Source organism: Homo sapiens, chromosome 19 (assembly GCF_000001405.40).
Source record: "Homo sapiens chromosome 19, GRCh38.p14 Primary Assembly".
In the NCBI taxonomy this organism is placed as follows: Eukaryota; Metazoa; Chordata; class Mammalia; order Primates; family Hominidae; genus Homo; species Homo sapiens.
In genome coordinates, this window is record NC_000019.10 from 35,646,265 (window position 1) to 35,659,605 (window position 13,341).

Sequence of the window (13,341 nt, forward strand, 5' to 3'; positions counted from 1 at the left end):
CACTCTGGCTGGAGTGCAGTGATGCAATTTCAGCTCACTGCAACCTCCGACTCCCAGGTTCAAGCAATTCTCCTGCCTCAGCCTCCCAAATAGCTGGGATTACAGGTGCACACCACCACGCACAGCTAATTTTTGTATTTTTAGTAAAGATGGGGTTGCACCGTGTTGGTCAGGCTGGTCTTGAACTCCTGACCTCAGGTGATCCGCCTGCCTTGGCCACCCAAAGTGCTGGGATTATAGGAGTGAGCCACCGTGCCTGGCCCCCATCAAGGGGTTTTAAGCAGGGAAAGGGATTTGGATTTTAGGAAGATCTCATTGCAGGGGATGAATACATGCATGTAAACAGGTAATTCCACAAATAATCACAATGTTGATGGACACAGAATGTGTAAGAAGAGGTCCCTGACCCAATTCCATCTGGACACTGCACCCCAGATGGTATGTGAGAGGCTTTAGAGGCCAGATGGGGGAGGAAGGAAAGCAGTTCTCTTTCATAGCTCCCTCTCCTAGTCCCTAGATGCTTCCTTCATTTCCACAAGAAATTCTTGCATTCAGCAAATATTTATAGACCACTTCCTGTGTGCCAGGCACTGCTTTAGATACAATGGTGAATGAATAAGGCAGACAAAAATTCTTCCTTTATGATAATTCTTTTCTGTTGAGGGAGGCAAAAAGAGGTAAACATAATGTAAAAGAACAGATATAGCCGGGCACGGTGGCTCACGCCTGTAATCCCAGCACTTTGGAAGGCCAAGGCGGGCAGATCACCTGAGGTCAAAAGTTCAAGACCAGCCTGACCAACATGGACAAACCGCATCTCTACTAAAAATACAAAATTAGCCAGGTGTGGTGGCGCATGCCTGTAATCCCAGCTACTGGGGAGGCTGAGGCAGAAGAATCGCTCTAGCTCGGGAGGTGGAGGTTGCAGTGAGCCAAGATCACACCACTGCACTCCAGCCTGGGCAACAAGAGCAAAACTCTGTCTGAAAAAAAAAAAAAAAAAAAAAAAAAAAAAGCCAAATTGGCCAGGTAGGGCAGCTCACGCCTGTAATCCCAGCATTTTGGGAGGCCGAGGTGGGCAGATCACCTGAGGTCAGGAGTTCAAGACCAACCTGACCAACATGGTGAAATCCCATCTCTACCAAAAATACCAAAATTAGCCGGGAGTGGTGGCGTGCGCTTGTAATCGCACCTACTCGGGAGGCTGAGGCAGGAGAATCGCTTGAACCGAGTAGACGCAGGTTGCAGTGAGCCAAGTTCGTGCCACTGCACTCCAGCCTGGGCGACAGAGTGAGACTCCGTCTCTCTCTCTATATATATATTTTAAGGGTAGGGATTTTTGTGTTTTGTGCAGCGTGCTTTCTCAACCCGTAAAGTGCCTGATGGCTGGATACGGTGGGTCACGCCGGTAATCCTAACGCTTTGGAAGGCCGAGGCGGGAGGATCGCTTAGAGACCAGGAGTTCGAGTCCAGCCTGGGTAACACAGCAAGACCCCATCTCTATAAAATGCATATATATATCCAGGAGTAGCGGTGCGCATCTGTAATCCCAGCTACTCGGGAGGATGAGGCGGGAGAATCGCTTGAACCCAGGAGGCGGAGGTTGCAGTGAGCTGAGATCGCGCTACTGCACTCCAGCCTGGGCCATAGAGTAAGACCCTGTCTCAAAAATTTAAAAAAAAGAAAAAAAAAATTTAAAGAAAAGAAATACCTGACACAGAAAAAGCGTTCAATAAATATTTCTTGCATGAATAAAAGTACTTTCGCTGGGACATTTTTCTCCACACCTACCCTCCAGCCAGCCCCGGGATCTATAACACTCTCTCCGAGTGAAGACACAGAGGTGATGAGATCGGGTAACCCACGGGCGCCCGAGCCCCAGCCGCGCAAGCTCACGATTGGGCCAGAAGTGAGGATGAACAAGCATTTAGCCCAATAGAAAGTCGTAGTTCTCTTGCTGGGCGTGGCTTGAATGACTTCAGTGGCCTCCTCCTGGGAGGGAGCTGAAGCCGCTCGCAAGACTCCCGTAGTCCCCACCTCTCTCAGCTTCCGGCTGGTAGTAGTTCCGCTTCCTGTCCGACTGTGGTGTCTTTGCTGAGGGTCACATTGAGCTGCAGGTTGAATCCGGGGTGCCTTTAGGTGAGTGTGGAGGGTTCTGTAACCTGGGACCCCAGTCTAGCGGGCTGAGGAGCCGGACCCCAGCTTCCCTGAGAACGGGTTGAGGCTTCCGGCTGGCGGCGTCCGGCCTCCCTGGACCCCGGGGCCCTGTTCTGTTCATCGTAAGAGCTAACAATGATACGGTTCTTCCTTGATGCCAGGCAACATCCCAAACAACTTTAATTAATTTATTTAACTCTCCCACCAGCCCTATGAGATAGGGCCTGCGATTATCCCCTTTTGTCAGTAAACAGGCTCAGAGATACCAAGCGACCTAGCTGAACCTACACAGCGACCAGGATTTGGCCCAGGAGTTTGTCCTCCAGGGCTCTTCATGGCTAATTCACAGGCGTGGCCTCTCGCGGCTTGCCTGGGCCGCAGCCTGGCTCCCGGGTGTCCAGTCCATCCTCCCTTTTGGACGTTGGAGGGGCCGCAGCGTCATCTCCGATGCACCCTCATCCTCAGATACCGGGTAGAGATCTCGCCGGTAACGATCCTTCCTACTGCGTCTGTGCCCCAGCAGCTGGTGTTTTACACCCCACTTCCCCACCGAAAGACTGTTTTAGTGCTCCAGACCCCCACCACCACCTTGCGTCGCTTGAATTTGACACTGCTCTGCAAGTCTCTGTATAGCCCCACGACTCCTAGGATTCCCTGGAATATAGATACTTTTCTCTCAGGCTCCCGACGAACACTGTCACTTCTTCAGAGACATTATATTAAAGGTGTTTAACCCTGGGTCCGCAGAGTTGGTAGAATTCAAGGAATGCTAGTACTTGAATTGGGGTGGGGGGTGGAATTGCATCTGTGTTTTTACTAACCTTTTGAGGCAGCAACCTCGGTAGTACTAGCAGCAGCGGTGATTTTGTTAGCAATGAAAATCATAGACATTCCTTTTTTTTGTTTTTCTCCTTTTTTGAGACAGGGTCACTGTGTCACCCAGGCTGGCGTGCAGTGGAGAAATCTTGGCTCACTGCAACCTCTGCTTCCCTGTGCAAGCGATCCTGCCTCAGTAGCTGGGACCACAGGCACGCGCCACCACACCTGGCTAATTTTAATTTTTTTTTTTTTTTTTGAGACAAGATCTTGCTGTATCGCCCAGGCTGGAGTACAATGGCACAATCTCGGCTCACTGCAACCTCCGCCTCTTGGGTTCAAGTGATTCTCCTGCCCCAGCCTCCCTGGTAGCTGGGATTACAGGTGCACGCCACCATGCCCAGCTAATTTTTTGTATTTTTAGTAGAGATGGGGTTTCACCATATTGGCCAAGCTGGTCTTGAACTCCTGACCTCAGGTGATCCACCCACCTCGGCTTCCCAAAGTGCTGGGATTACAGGCGTGAGCCACCTCTTCCGGCCAATTTTAATATTTTTTTTGTAGAGATGAGATGGGGTTTCACCATGTTGCCCAGGCTGGTCTTGAACTCCTGGGCTCAAGCGATCCTCCCACCTCAGCATTCCAAAGTGCTGGGATTACAGGTGTGAACCATTGTGCTCCACCCAAAATCACAGGTATTCTTATACCACATTATAACAGCAAATGTCACAAAATACTATATTCATTCATGATTACTTCAAAATTGTATTTTTTTTTTTTTTTGAGACAGTGTTTTTGCTCTGTTGCCCAGGTTGGAGTGCACTGGCACAATCTCGGCTCACTACAACCTCCGCCTCCTGGGTTTAAGCGATTCTTTTGCCTCAACATCCAGAGTAGCTGGGATTATAGGCACCTGCCACCACACCCAGCTGATTTTTATATTTTTAGTAGAGCCAGGGTTTCACCATGTTGGCCAGGCTGGTCTTGAACTCCTGACCTCAGGTGATCCACCCCCCTGGCCTCCCAAAGTGCTAGGATTACAGGCGTGAGCCACCGCACCCGGCGAAAATTGTATTCCTTAATGAATCCTCAGCTGGATATAACTGCTTTTCTTTGTGATGCTGTGCAGGTTTTTTTCACTTCATGTACTCATGGAGCCTATGCAATTTTTAAATACATTTAAACATATTCAGGCCGGGTTTGGTGTCTCCGTTCTGTAATCTCAACATTTTGGGAGGCCAAGCCGGGCAGATCATTTGAGGTCAGAAGTTGGAGAGCAGTCTGACCAACATGGTAAAACCTTGTCTAAAATACAAAAAAATTAGCAGGGCATGGTGGCAGGCGCCTGTAATCTCAGCTGTTCGGGAGGCTGAGGCAACAGAATTGCTTGAATCTTGGAGGCGGAGTTTGCAGTGAGCCTAGGTCGTACCAGTGAGCCTGGGTGACAGAGCAAGACTCTGTCTTAAAAAAAGAAAAAAAAAAACATTCAGCGAGAGGTTTCTGGGATTCATCAGACTGCTGAGGAGTTTGTGGCACCAAAAAGATTAAGAATCTTTGCAGTGTAGATTATGCCAACAACGGAGGCAGCCCACCAGTTATTTTTATGCCGTTTAACCGTAGGAAGTCACTTAGACACCCTGTTCCTTCCTCGTCTGGGCAATGGTGATAGTAATAGTTCCTACCTTTTAGAGTGGCTATAGGAGTAAAGTGTGTAGAACAGCGCCTGGCATGTAGTAAGCACTCAGTGAGTGTTAGCTCATGTTATTTGGGGACCAGGCTTGATTTTGCTGAGGAGTTGTACCCCAACCCTGCCGCGACCTCGACACTCAGATGTGTGGATTCGCCCTGCCCCTCATCTCTGTGTATGTTGAGAGGCAGGAACTTGTTCACACCCAGCCCATTGTTCCGTGCCTGCCCTCTTCCATTGATCCTGGGTAGTCTGGCTTGCTCAGGGCCCCTGGGGCCCCTGCTGACACCCACTCCTTTCGCCTCCAGGATTCAGCACCATGGCGGAAGACATGGAGACCAAAATCAAGAACTACAAGACCGCCCCTTTTGACAGCCGCTTCCCCAACCAGAACCAGACTAGAAACTGCTGGCAGAACTACCTGGGTAAGCAGGACCTTTCCCTGGCCACATACCTCGAGTCACTCACCGCTTGCCTCTTCCTAGGGGACCCATCCACCCCAGCCTCCTCCCTTTTATTCTGAACATCCTTACTCTGGAAGGCCCATGCCTCTCATCACCTGCTGTTCAGGTCCAGGCTAGGGTTACAAACTTTAGTTCCTGCAATGATTTTTTTTTTAATTTAAATTTTTTATTATTATTATGGTTTGGTTTTGTTTTTTTCCAGAGATGGGGTCTCACTTTGTCACCTAGGCTGGAGTGCAGTGGTGCAATCATAGCTCACTGCAGCCTCAACCTCCTGGGCTCAAGAGGTCCCCCTACCTCAGCCTCTCGAGTAGCTGGGACCACAGGCCCACACTACTGTACTTGGCTAATTTTTTTGTAGAGAAGAGGTCTCAGTTTGTTGCCCAGGCTGGTCTCAAACTCTTGGCTTCATGCGCTCTTCCTGCCTCAGCTTCTCAAAGTGTTGGGATTATAGGTGTGAGCCACCGTGCCTGGCCCCTACAATGATTTTTTTTTAAGCTGTATGTGTGTGCGTACTGTAACATGTACAGAAAGCACATAACAAACATGTACAGCTAAATGAATAATTCTAAAGTGAACCCCTTGTGCAACCATAACCTGGAGAGAAAAGCAGACATTGCCCACACTCTCATCTCCCTGCCTTCTTTTTTTTTTTTTTGAGATGGAGTTTTGCTCTTGTTGCCCAGGCTGGAGTGCAATGGTGCAATCTTGGCTCACTGCAACCTCCGCCTCCCAGGTTCAAGCAATTCTCCTGCCTCAGTCCCCCAAGTAGCTGGGATTACAGGCACCTGCCACCACACCCAGCTAATTTTTTGTATTTTTAGTAGAGACGGGGTTTCTCCATGTTGGTCAGGCTGGTCTCAAACTCCTGACCTCAGGTGATCCACCCGCCTCGGCCTCCCAAAATGCTGGGATTACAGGCATGAGCCACCGCGCCTGGCCTCCCCACCTTCTTTATGTCCTGTCTGGAACACAGCACCCCGCTCTCCCCAGTAGAGAAGTGACGCCACTAACTGGGGGTTATCACATCTTTGTTTTTGGTTTTGGTTTTTGTTTTTGAGACTGAGTTTTTTGTTTTCGTTGCCCAGGCTGGAGTGCAATGTCACGATCTCGGCTCACTGCAACCTCTTCTGCCTGCTGGGTTCAAGCAATTCTCCTGTCTCAGCCTCACTAGTAGCTGGGATTACAGGCACCCGCCACCATGCCCAGCTAATTTTTTGTATTTTTTTTTTTTTTTAGTAAAGACAAGGTTTCACCATGTTGATCAGGCTGATCTTGAACTCCTGACCTCAGGTGATCCACCCACCTCAGCCTCCCAAAGTGCTGGAATTACAGGCGTGAGCCACTGTGCCCGGCCTCACATCTTTGTTTTTTACCACCATGTTTATTATTTTATTTTATTTTATATATGTTATGTTGTTATGTTATTGATGGAGTCTGTTTCTTGTTGCCCAAGTTGGAGTGCAATGGCACGATCTCAGCTCATTGCAACCTCTGCCTCCCGGGTTCAAGTGATTCTCCTGCCTCAGCCTCCTGAGTAGCTGGGAATACAGGCGCTCGCCACCACACCCAGCTAATTTTTTTTTTTTTTTTTTTTTGAGACGGAGTCTCGCTTTGTCGCCCAGGTTGGAGTGCAGTGGTGCAATCTCGACTCACTGCAACCTCCGCCTCCCAGCTTCAAGCACTTCTCTGCCTCAGCCTGCCGAGTAGCTGGGATTACAGTCGCCTGCCACCATGCCTGGCTAATTTTTTTTTTTTGTATTTTTAGTAGAGACAGGGTTTTACCATCTTGGCCAGGCTGGTCTTAAACTCCTGACCTCGTGATCCACCCCCCTCAGCCTCCCAAAGTGCTGAGATTACAGGTGTAAGCCACCATGCCTGGCCAATTTTATTTATTTATTTGAGACAGAGTCTCGCTCTGTTGCCCAGGCTGGAGTGCAGTGGTACAACCTTGGCTCACTGCAACCTCCGCCTCCCGGGTTTAAGCAATTCTCCTGCCTCAGCTTCCTGAGTAGCTGGGACTACAGGCGCGTGCCACCATGCCCGGCTAATTTTTTGTGTTTTTAGTAGAGACAGGATTTCACCATGTTGGCCAGGCTGGTCTCGATCTCCTGACCTCATGATCTGCCTGCCTCGGCCTCCCAAAGTGCTGAGATTACAGGCGTGAGCCACCGTGCCTGGCCAATTTTTTGTATTTTTTTTTTTTTTTTGAGATGGAGTCTCGCTCTGTCGCCCAGGCTGGAGTGCAGTGGCGTGATCTCGGCTCCCTGCAAGCTCCGCCTCCTGGGTTCACACCATTCTCCTGCCTCAGCCTCCCGAGTAGCTGGGACTACAGGTGCCCGCCACCGCGCCCAGCTAATTTTTTGTATTTTTAGTAGAGATGGGGTTTCACCGTGGTCTCTATCTCCTGACCTCGTGATCTGCCTGCCTCGGCCTCCCAAAGTGCTGGGATTACAGGCATGAGCCACTAGGTCCAGCCACTTTTTTGTATTTTTAATAGAGACAGGGCTTCACCATGTTGTCCAGGCTGGTCTCGAACTCCTACCCTCAAGTGATCCACCTGCCTTAGCTTCCCAAAGTGCTGGGATTACAGGCCTGAGCCACCATGCCCGGCTACCACCGTGTTTAGATTCACCTCTTTGTGAACTTTATACATACTGTGTGTATTCTTTTGTGTTTGGATTTTTTCATTCAGTACCTTCTCAGATCCATACATGCTGTGGCATATAGCTTGCTCATTTTCATTGCTGTCCAGTTTTCTACAATTTATTCTATGCCTGTACACTTGTGTGATTTCCATTTTGGAGTTCTTACAAATGGTGTGGCTGTAAACATCTTTATAAATGTAATTTTGCTGGGTGCAGTGGCTCACGCCTGTAATCCTAGCACTTTGGGAGGCCGAGGTGGGCAGATCAAGACCAGCCTGGCCAACATGGCGAAACCCTGTCTCTACTAAAAATACAAAAATTAGCTGGGCATGGTGGCAGGTGCCTGTAATCCCAGCTACTTGAGAGGCTGAGGCAGGAGAATCACTTGAACCCAGGAGGAGGTAGAGGTTGCAGTGAGCTGAGATCGCACCACTGCACTCCAGCCTGAGTGACAGATTGAGACCCTACCTCAAAAAAAAAAAAAAATGTGTTCCAACTCTTGATCTGGGCTGACTTGAACCCCTTTCTTCACAGACTTCCACCGCTGTCAGAAGGCAATGACCGCTAAAGGAGGCGATATCTCTGTGTGCGAATGGTACCAGCGTGTGTACCAGTCCCTCTGCCCCACATCCTGGGTATGTGCCTCCTGCCAGGGCCCTTGGGATGCTGGGGTGGGGTCTTAGCAGAGGGGAGTGTGGTGGCTTGGTGGGAGCTCATCTGTGAGGGGCAGAGGGAGGACAGGGCACCACACTGTCCCAGGACTCAGTGCCTTTCCTCCCGCCTAGAATTACCTCCCTGTCTCCTTCTGCTGATGCCTCTCAACCAGTCAGGGCTCTCAGCTGAGGCGACCAGGGTGCTTTGCTAGATGTAGCTCACTCATGCACTCTCCAAATACACACTCAGCACTGGGCTCCCATCCCTGTGTAGCTCACAATTCTGTGCAGTCCTGTCCTTTTTTATTAGGAACATTTTTTTTTCTTTTTTTTTTTCTTTTTTTTTTTTTAGACAAGGGTCTTGCTGTGTTGCCAGGCTGGAAAGGCTGGAGTGCAGTGGCGCGATCTTGCCTCACTGCAACCTCCGCCTCCTGGGTTCAAGCGATTCCCCTGCCTCAGCCTTCCAAGTAGCTGGGACTACAGGTGTGCACCACCATGCCCAGCTAGTTTTTTGTATTTTAATAGAAACGGGGTTTCACCATGTTAGCCAGGATAGTCTCAATCTCCTGACTTCATGGTCCACCTGCCTCGGCCTCCCAGAGTGCTGGGATTACAGGCGTGAACCACCGTGCCCGGCCCTATTATGAACATTTTCAAAGCAGAGATAATAATTCATTGACCTCAAATACATCCATCACCCAAAGTGAATAGTTATCAGGATTTATCCACGGTTTCTTCATCTACCCCTTTTCGTTTTCTTCTTTCCTTTGCTGAAGTATTCTAAAGCAAGTCCCAGACACGTCATTTCACCCCTGCCTACTTCAGTGTGGACTTCTAAATAATGACACAGTAAGACAGTCCTTTCAGCCCTGATCTGACCAAATCTGTCGTCAATATTTAATAGCTCTTTGCTATGCCCCTGCCCTTTGTTTAAAAAAAAAAAAAAGTTTTTAAAGACAAGGTCTCATGATGTTGCCCAGGCTAGACTCGAACTCCTGGGCTCAAGTGTTCCTCCTGTCTCAGCCTCCTGAGTAGCTTGGACTACAGGCATGTGCCACTGTGCCTGTCTCTCTCTCTCTCTCTCTCTCTCTCTCTCTCTTTGTCGCCCTCTCGCTCTCTCTTGCTCTCTTTCTCTCTCGCTCTCTCTTTCTCACTCTTTCTCTCTTTCTTTCCTTTCTTTCTTTTCTTTCTTGAGCCTTGCTCTGTTGCCCAGACTGGAGTGCAGTAGCATGATCTCAGCTCACTGCAGCCTCAGCCTCCTGAATAGCTGGGACTACAGGCATGAGCCACCACACCTGGCCCAATTTTTGTATTTTTTTTGTAGAAATGGGGTTTCGCCTTGTTGCCCAGACTGGTCTCGAACTCCTGAGCTCAAAGCAGTCTGCCTGCCTCAGCCTCCCAAAGCGCTGGGATTATAGGCATGAGCTACCGCACCCAGCTGAATCTTTCAAAATAAAAAAAATTACCCTTTAACTTGGCAATTCCACATCTAGGGATGCTACAAAAATCTTCATGTACAAAGATGCCCATTGCAGAGTTGTTCGTAATGGAGAATATTTGGAAATAACCCAAGTTAAAACATTGATCTTGATAGTCTTTATGGAGACTATGGTGATCTACATGCTAGCACACAGAAAGAATGCTAAGACACAGGAAAAGTAAGTTGCAGAACAATCTATATAGTAGGAGTCAATTTGCAAGGATGGAGTTTTTATGGTGTGGTATGTGTATGTAAATAAAGTAGGCACATACCGCTGGCACTTATTATGGGCCAGCTATGTTGTTAGACCTTTTTTTTTTTTTTTTTTTGAGATGGAGTCTTGCTCTGTCTCCCAGGCTGGAGTGCAGTGGTGCAATCTCAGCTCACTGCAACCTCCGCCTTCCAGGTTCAGGCGATTCCCCTGCCTCAGCCTCCCGAGTGTCTGGGATTACAGGCGCCTGCCACCATGCCCAGCTGATTTTTGTATTTTTAGTAGAGACAGAGTTTCACCATGTTGGCCAGGCTGGTCTCAAACTCCTGACCTCAGGTGATGCACCTGCTTCGGCCTCCCAAAGTTCTGGGATTACCGGCGTGAGCCACCACGCCCAGCCATGTTAGCACTTTACATCACATAAGGTCAACATGCTAACACAACCGTATGAGGTAGGTACTATTGTTAGTATCCTCATTTTACAAAATTGGAAACTGAGGCCCAGAAAGGTTGAGTAACTTGCCCAAAGTCACACAGCTAGGAAGTGATGGAGCAGGGATTCAGATTCAGCCTCTCTGTTATCCATGCTTTCATCCACTGTTCGTTCTTGCACCAGTGGTCCTCACCCTTTTTGGCACCAGGGATGAGCTTCATGGAAGACAGTTTTTCCACAGACAGGGTTGGGGATGGTGTAAGGATGAGTCCAGCATATTACATTTATTGTCCACTTTATTTCTGTTATTATTACATTATATAATAAAATAATTATACAACTCACCATACTATAGAATCAGTGGGAGCCCTGAGCTTGTTTTCCTGCAACTAGATGGTCCCATCTGGGGGTGATGGGAGATAGTGACAGATCATCAGGCATTAGATTCTCATAAGGATCATGCAGCCTAGATCCCTCACATGCGCAGTTCACAATAGGGTTCGCACTCCTAAGAGAATCTAATGCTGCCGCTGATCTGACAGGAGGTGGAACTCAGGCAGTAATGCGAGCATTAGGGAGTGCTTGTAAATATAGTTGAAGCTTGTCTCGCTCACCTGCCACTCACTTCCAGCTGTGGGGCCCAGTTCCTAACAGGCCACAGACCAGTACCTGGTAGGCACTGGTTGGGGCTCGGGGACCCCTGCCTTATAGCATAAAATGTGAGCGTGTATGTATATAAAAACGTTTATGCTTGTAACTGCTTGTGAGGTCCACAAAGAGTAGAGTGTTACTTTCAGGGAGTGTTAACTTGACATAGGCCTTATATGGGCCTTTTCATTTTTTTTTTTTTTTTTTTTTTAGAGACAGTCTTGCTCTGTCAGGCTGGAGTGCGGTGTGCAGTGGTAGCATCATAGCTCACTGCAGCCTCGAACTCCTGGGTTCAAGCAGTTCTCCCACCTCAGCCTCCCTAGTAGCTGTGACTACAGGTGCATGCCACCATGCCTGGCTAAGTTTTGTATTTTTTGTAGAGACAGGGTTTTGCCACATTCACCAGGCTGGTCTCAAACTCCTGGGCTCAAGCGATCCTCCCACCTTTGCCTCCCAAAGTGCTGGAATTATAGGCGTGAGCCACCATGCCCGGCTTATTTTTTATTTTTTGTAGAGATGGGGGTCTTGCCGTGTTGTCCAGGTTGGTCTCAAACTCCTGAGCTCAAGCAGTCCTCCCACATCGGCCCCGCAAAGTGCTGGGATGACAGGTGCGAGTCACCACACCCAGCCTCCATCATTGTTTATACTGAGCATCGCCTGTGGTCAGTGGTGGGATTGCACTGTGTATTGTTTGGCACCTTTTTTGCACTTGACTATGTATCTTGAAGATCCATCCATTCATGCCAGAACATAAATCAGCCTCGTTTTTTTTCACAGCTGCCTGCTATTCCATCTCCCCTGTTTGGACAAACAGCATAGTGTTGACTTGAGGTTTTCAAAGCAGGGCCCACCCTTGGAGCTCTGTACAGTGACACATCTCCCCATCGACAGCTCTGCAGTGGGCCTGGGGTTTTCCTGCCCATTACTCTCCTCCCAGCATGTCAGCTTGTTCAGAACAGTGATTTCTGTCTTTTGGGGTCACTGCTGATTCCCCGGCCTCTAGAATAGAGGTTGGCACACAGCAGGTACCTGTGGATATTGGTTGAACAAACAGGTGGGCAAAGTGAGGAAGATAAGAAGTCCATCCGTTCAGTTTCCCCACTGCGGAGGGAATAACACTGTCTTTCCACAGGTCACAGACTGGGATGAGCAACGGGCTGAAGGCACGTTTCCCGGGAAGATCTGAACTGGCTGCATCTCCCTTTCCTCTGTCCTCCATCCTTCTCCCAGGATGGTGAAGGGGGACCTGGTACCCAGTGATCCCCACCCCAGGATCCTAAATCATGACTTACCTGCTAATAAAAACTCATTGGAAAAGTGAGACTATGCGTGTGAACGGGCCAGGCAGTGGCAAGAAGCTGGGCTGGAATCAGTGCCCTGACCAGGGAGGGGCTTGAATGAGTATTTTCTCTGTTTTGTTTTTATTTATTTAATTTAATTTAATTTTTTTTTTTTTTATGATGGAGTCTCGTTCTTCACGCAGGCTGGAGTGCAATGGCACGATCTCTGCTCACTGCAACCTCCACCTCCAGTGTTCAAGCGATTCTCCTGCCTCAGCCTCCCGACTAGCTGGGACTACAGGCACACCCCACCACACCTGGCTAATTTTTGTATTTTTAGTAGAGATGGGGTTTTACCATGTCGGCCAGGCTGGTCTCAAACTCCTGACCTCAGATGATCCACCTGCCTCGGCCTCCCAAAGTGCTGGGATTACAGGCATGAGCCACCATGCCTAGCGTTTTTTAACTTAATTTTATTGAACCTTGGCCACCCTCTCTGTGCCAGTCAATGAGTCAAATAGTTGATTATACAGAATAACCTAAGTTCCTATGTGTGCAACCACCCTACATAATTTTAAAGCAAATTATATAGATTATAATATAATATAAAATACATAAAGATTATATTTTATCCAGAAATAAGAAACTATATGTATCTCTTGGAGATACAATTTTTTTTTTTTTTTTTTTGAGACAGAGTCTCAATCTGTTGCCCAGGCTGGAGTGCAGTGGTGTCATCTCAGCTCTCTGCAACCTCTGCCTTCTGGGTTCAAACTATTCTCCTGCCTGGAGATACCTATTTTTTTAACATAATTATTTACACCTAAGAAATTAGTTCTTAATGGCCGGGCACAGTGGCTCATG

The 13,341-nt window shown here is 48.5% G+C and overlaps 1 protein-coding gene across 1 annotated transcript, besides 2 other annotated features; it reads left to right on the forward strand.

Annotated features, from left to right (window-relative positions):
• Nucleotides 2,051–2,110: an enhancer, noted in NCBI's record as "active region_14490". NCBI's record gives its function as "activates an Ori minimal core promoter by ATAC-STARR-seq in GM12878 lymphoblastoid cells {active_cell/tissue: GM12878}" and the evidence as "EXISTENCE:reporter gene assay evidence [ECO:0000049][PMID:35858748]".
• COX6B1 (cytochrome c oxidase subunit 6B1) lies at nucleotides 2,059–12,518 on the forward strand. Its single transcript, NM_001863.5, has 4 exons — nucleotides 2,059–2,139; nucleotides 4,969–5,085; nucleotides 8,307–8,407; nucleotides 12,330–12,518. The coding sequence occupies exons 2-4, from the start codon at nucleotides 4,980–4,982 to the stop codon at nucleotides 12,381–12,383; spliced, it is 261 nt and encodes an 86-aa protein (NP_001854.1). The 5' UTR covers nucleotides 2,059–2,139; nucleotides 4,969–4,979; the 3' UTR covers nucleotides 12,384–12,518.
• Nucleotides 2,271–2,320: an enhancer, noted in NCBI's record as "active region_14491". NCBI's record gives its function as "activates an Ori minimal core promoter by ATAC-STARR-seq in GM12878 lymphoblastoid cells {active_cell/tissue: GM12878}" and the evidence as "EXISTENCE:reporter gene assay evidence [ECO:0000049][PMID:35858748]".

Bases quoted from the DNA above. Each gene is read 5' to 3' on its own strand.
- COX6B1 (NM_001863.5), top strand. From the start codon at position 4,980: ATGGCGGAAGACATGGAGACCAAAATCAAGAACTACAAGACCGCCCCT. The intron at 5,086-8,306 runs GTAAGCAGGACC...CTTTCTTCACAG, and splicing joins CTGCTGGCAGAACTACCTGG to ACTTCCACCGCTGTCAGAAG. The intron at 8,408-12,329 runs GTATGTGCCTCC...GTCTTTCCACAG, and splicing joins CCCTCTGCCCCACATCCTGG to GTCACAGACTGGGATGAGCA.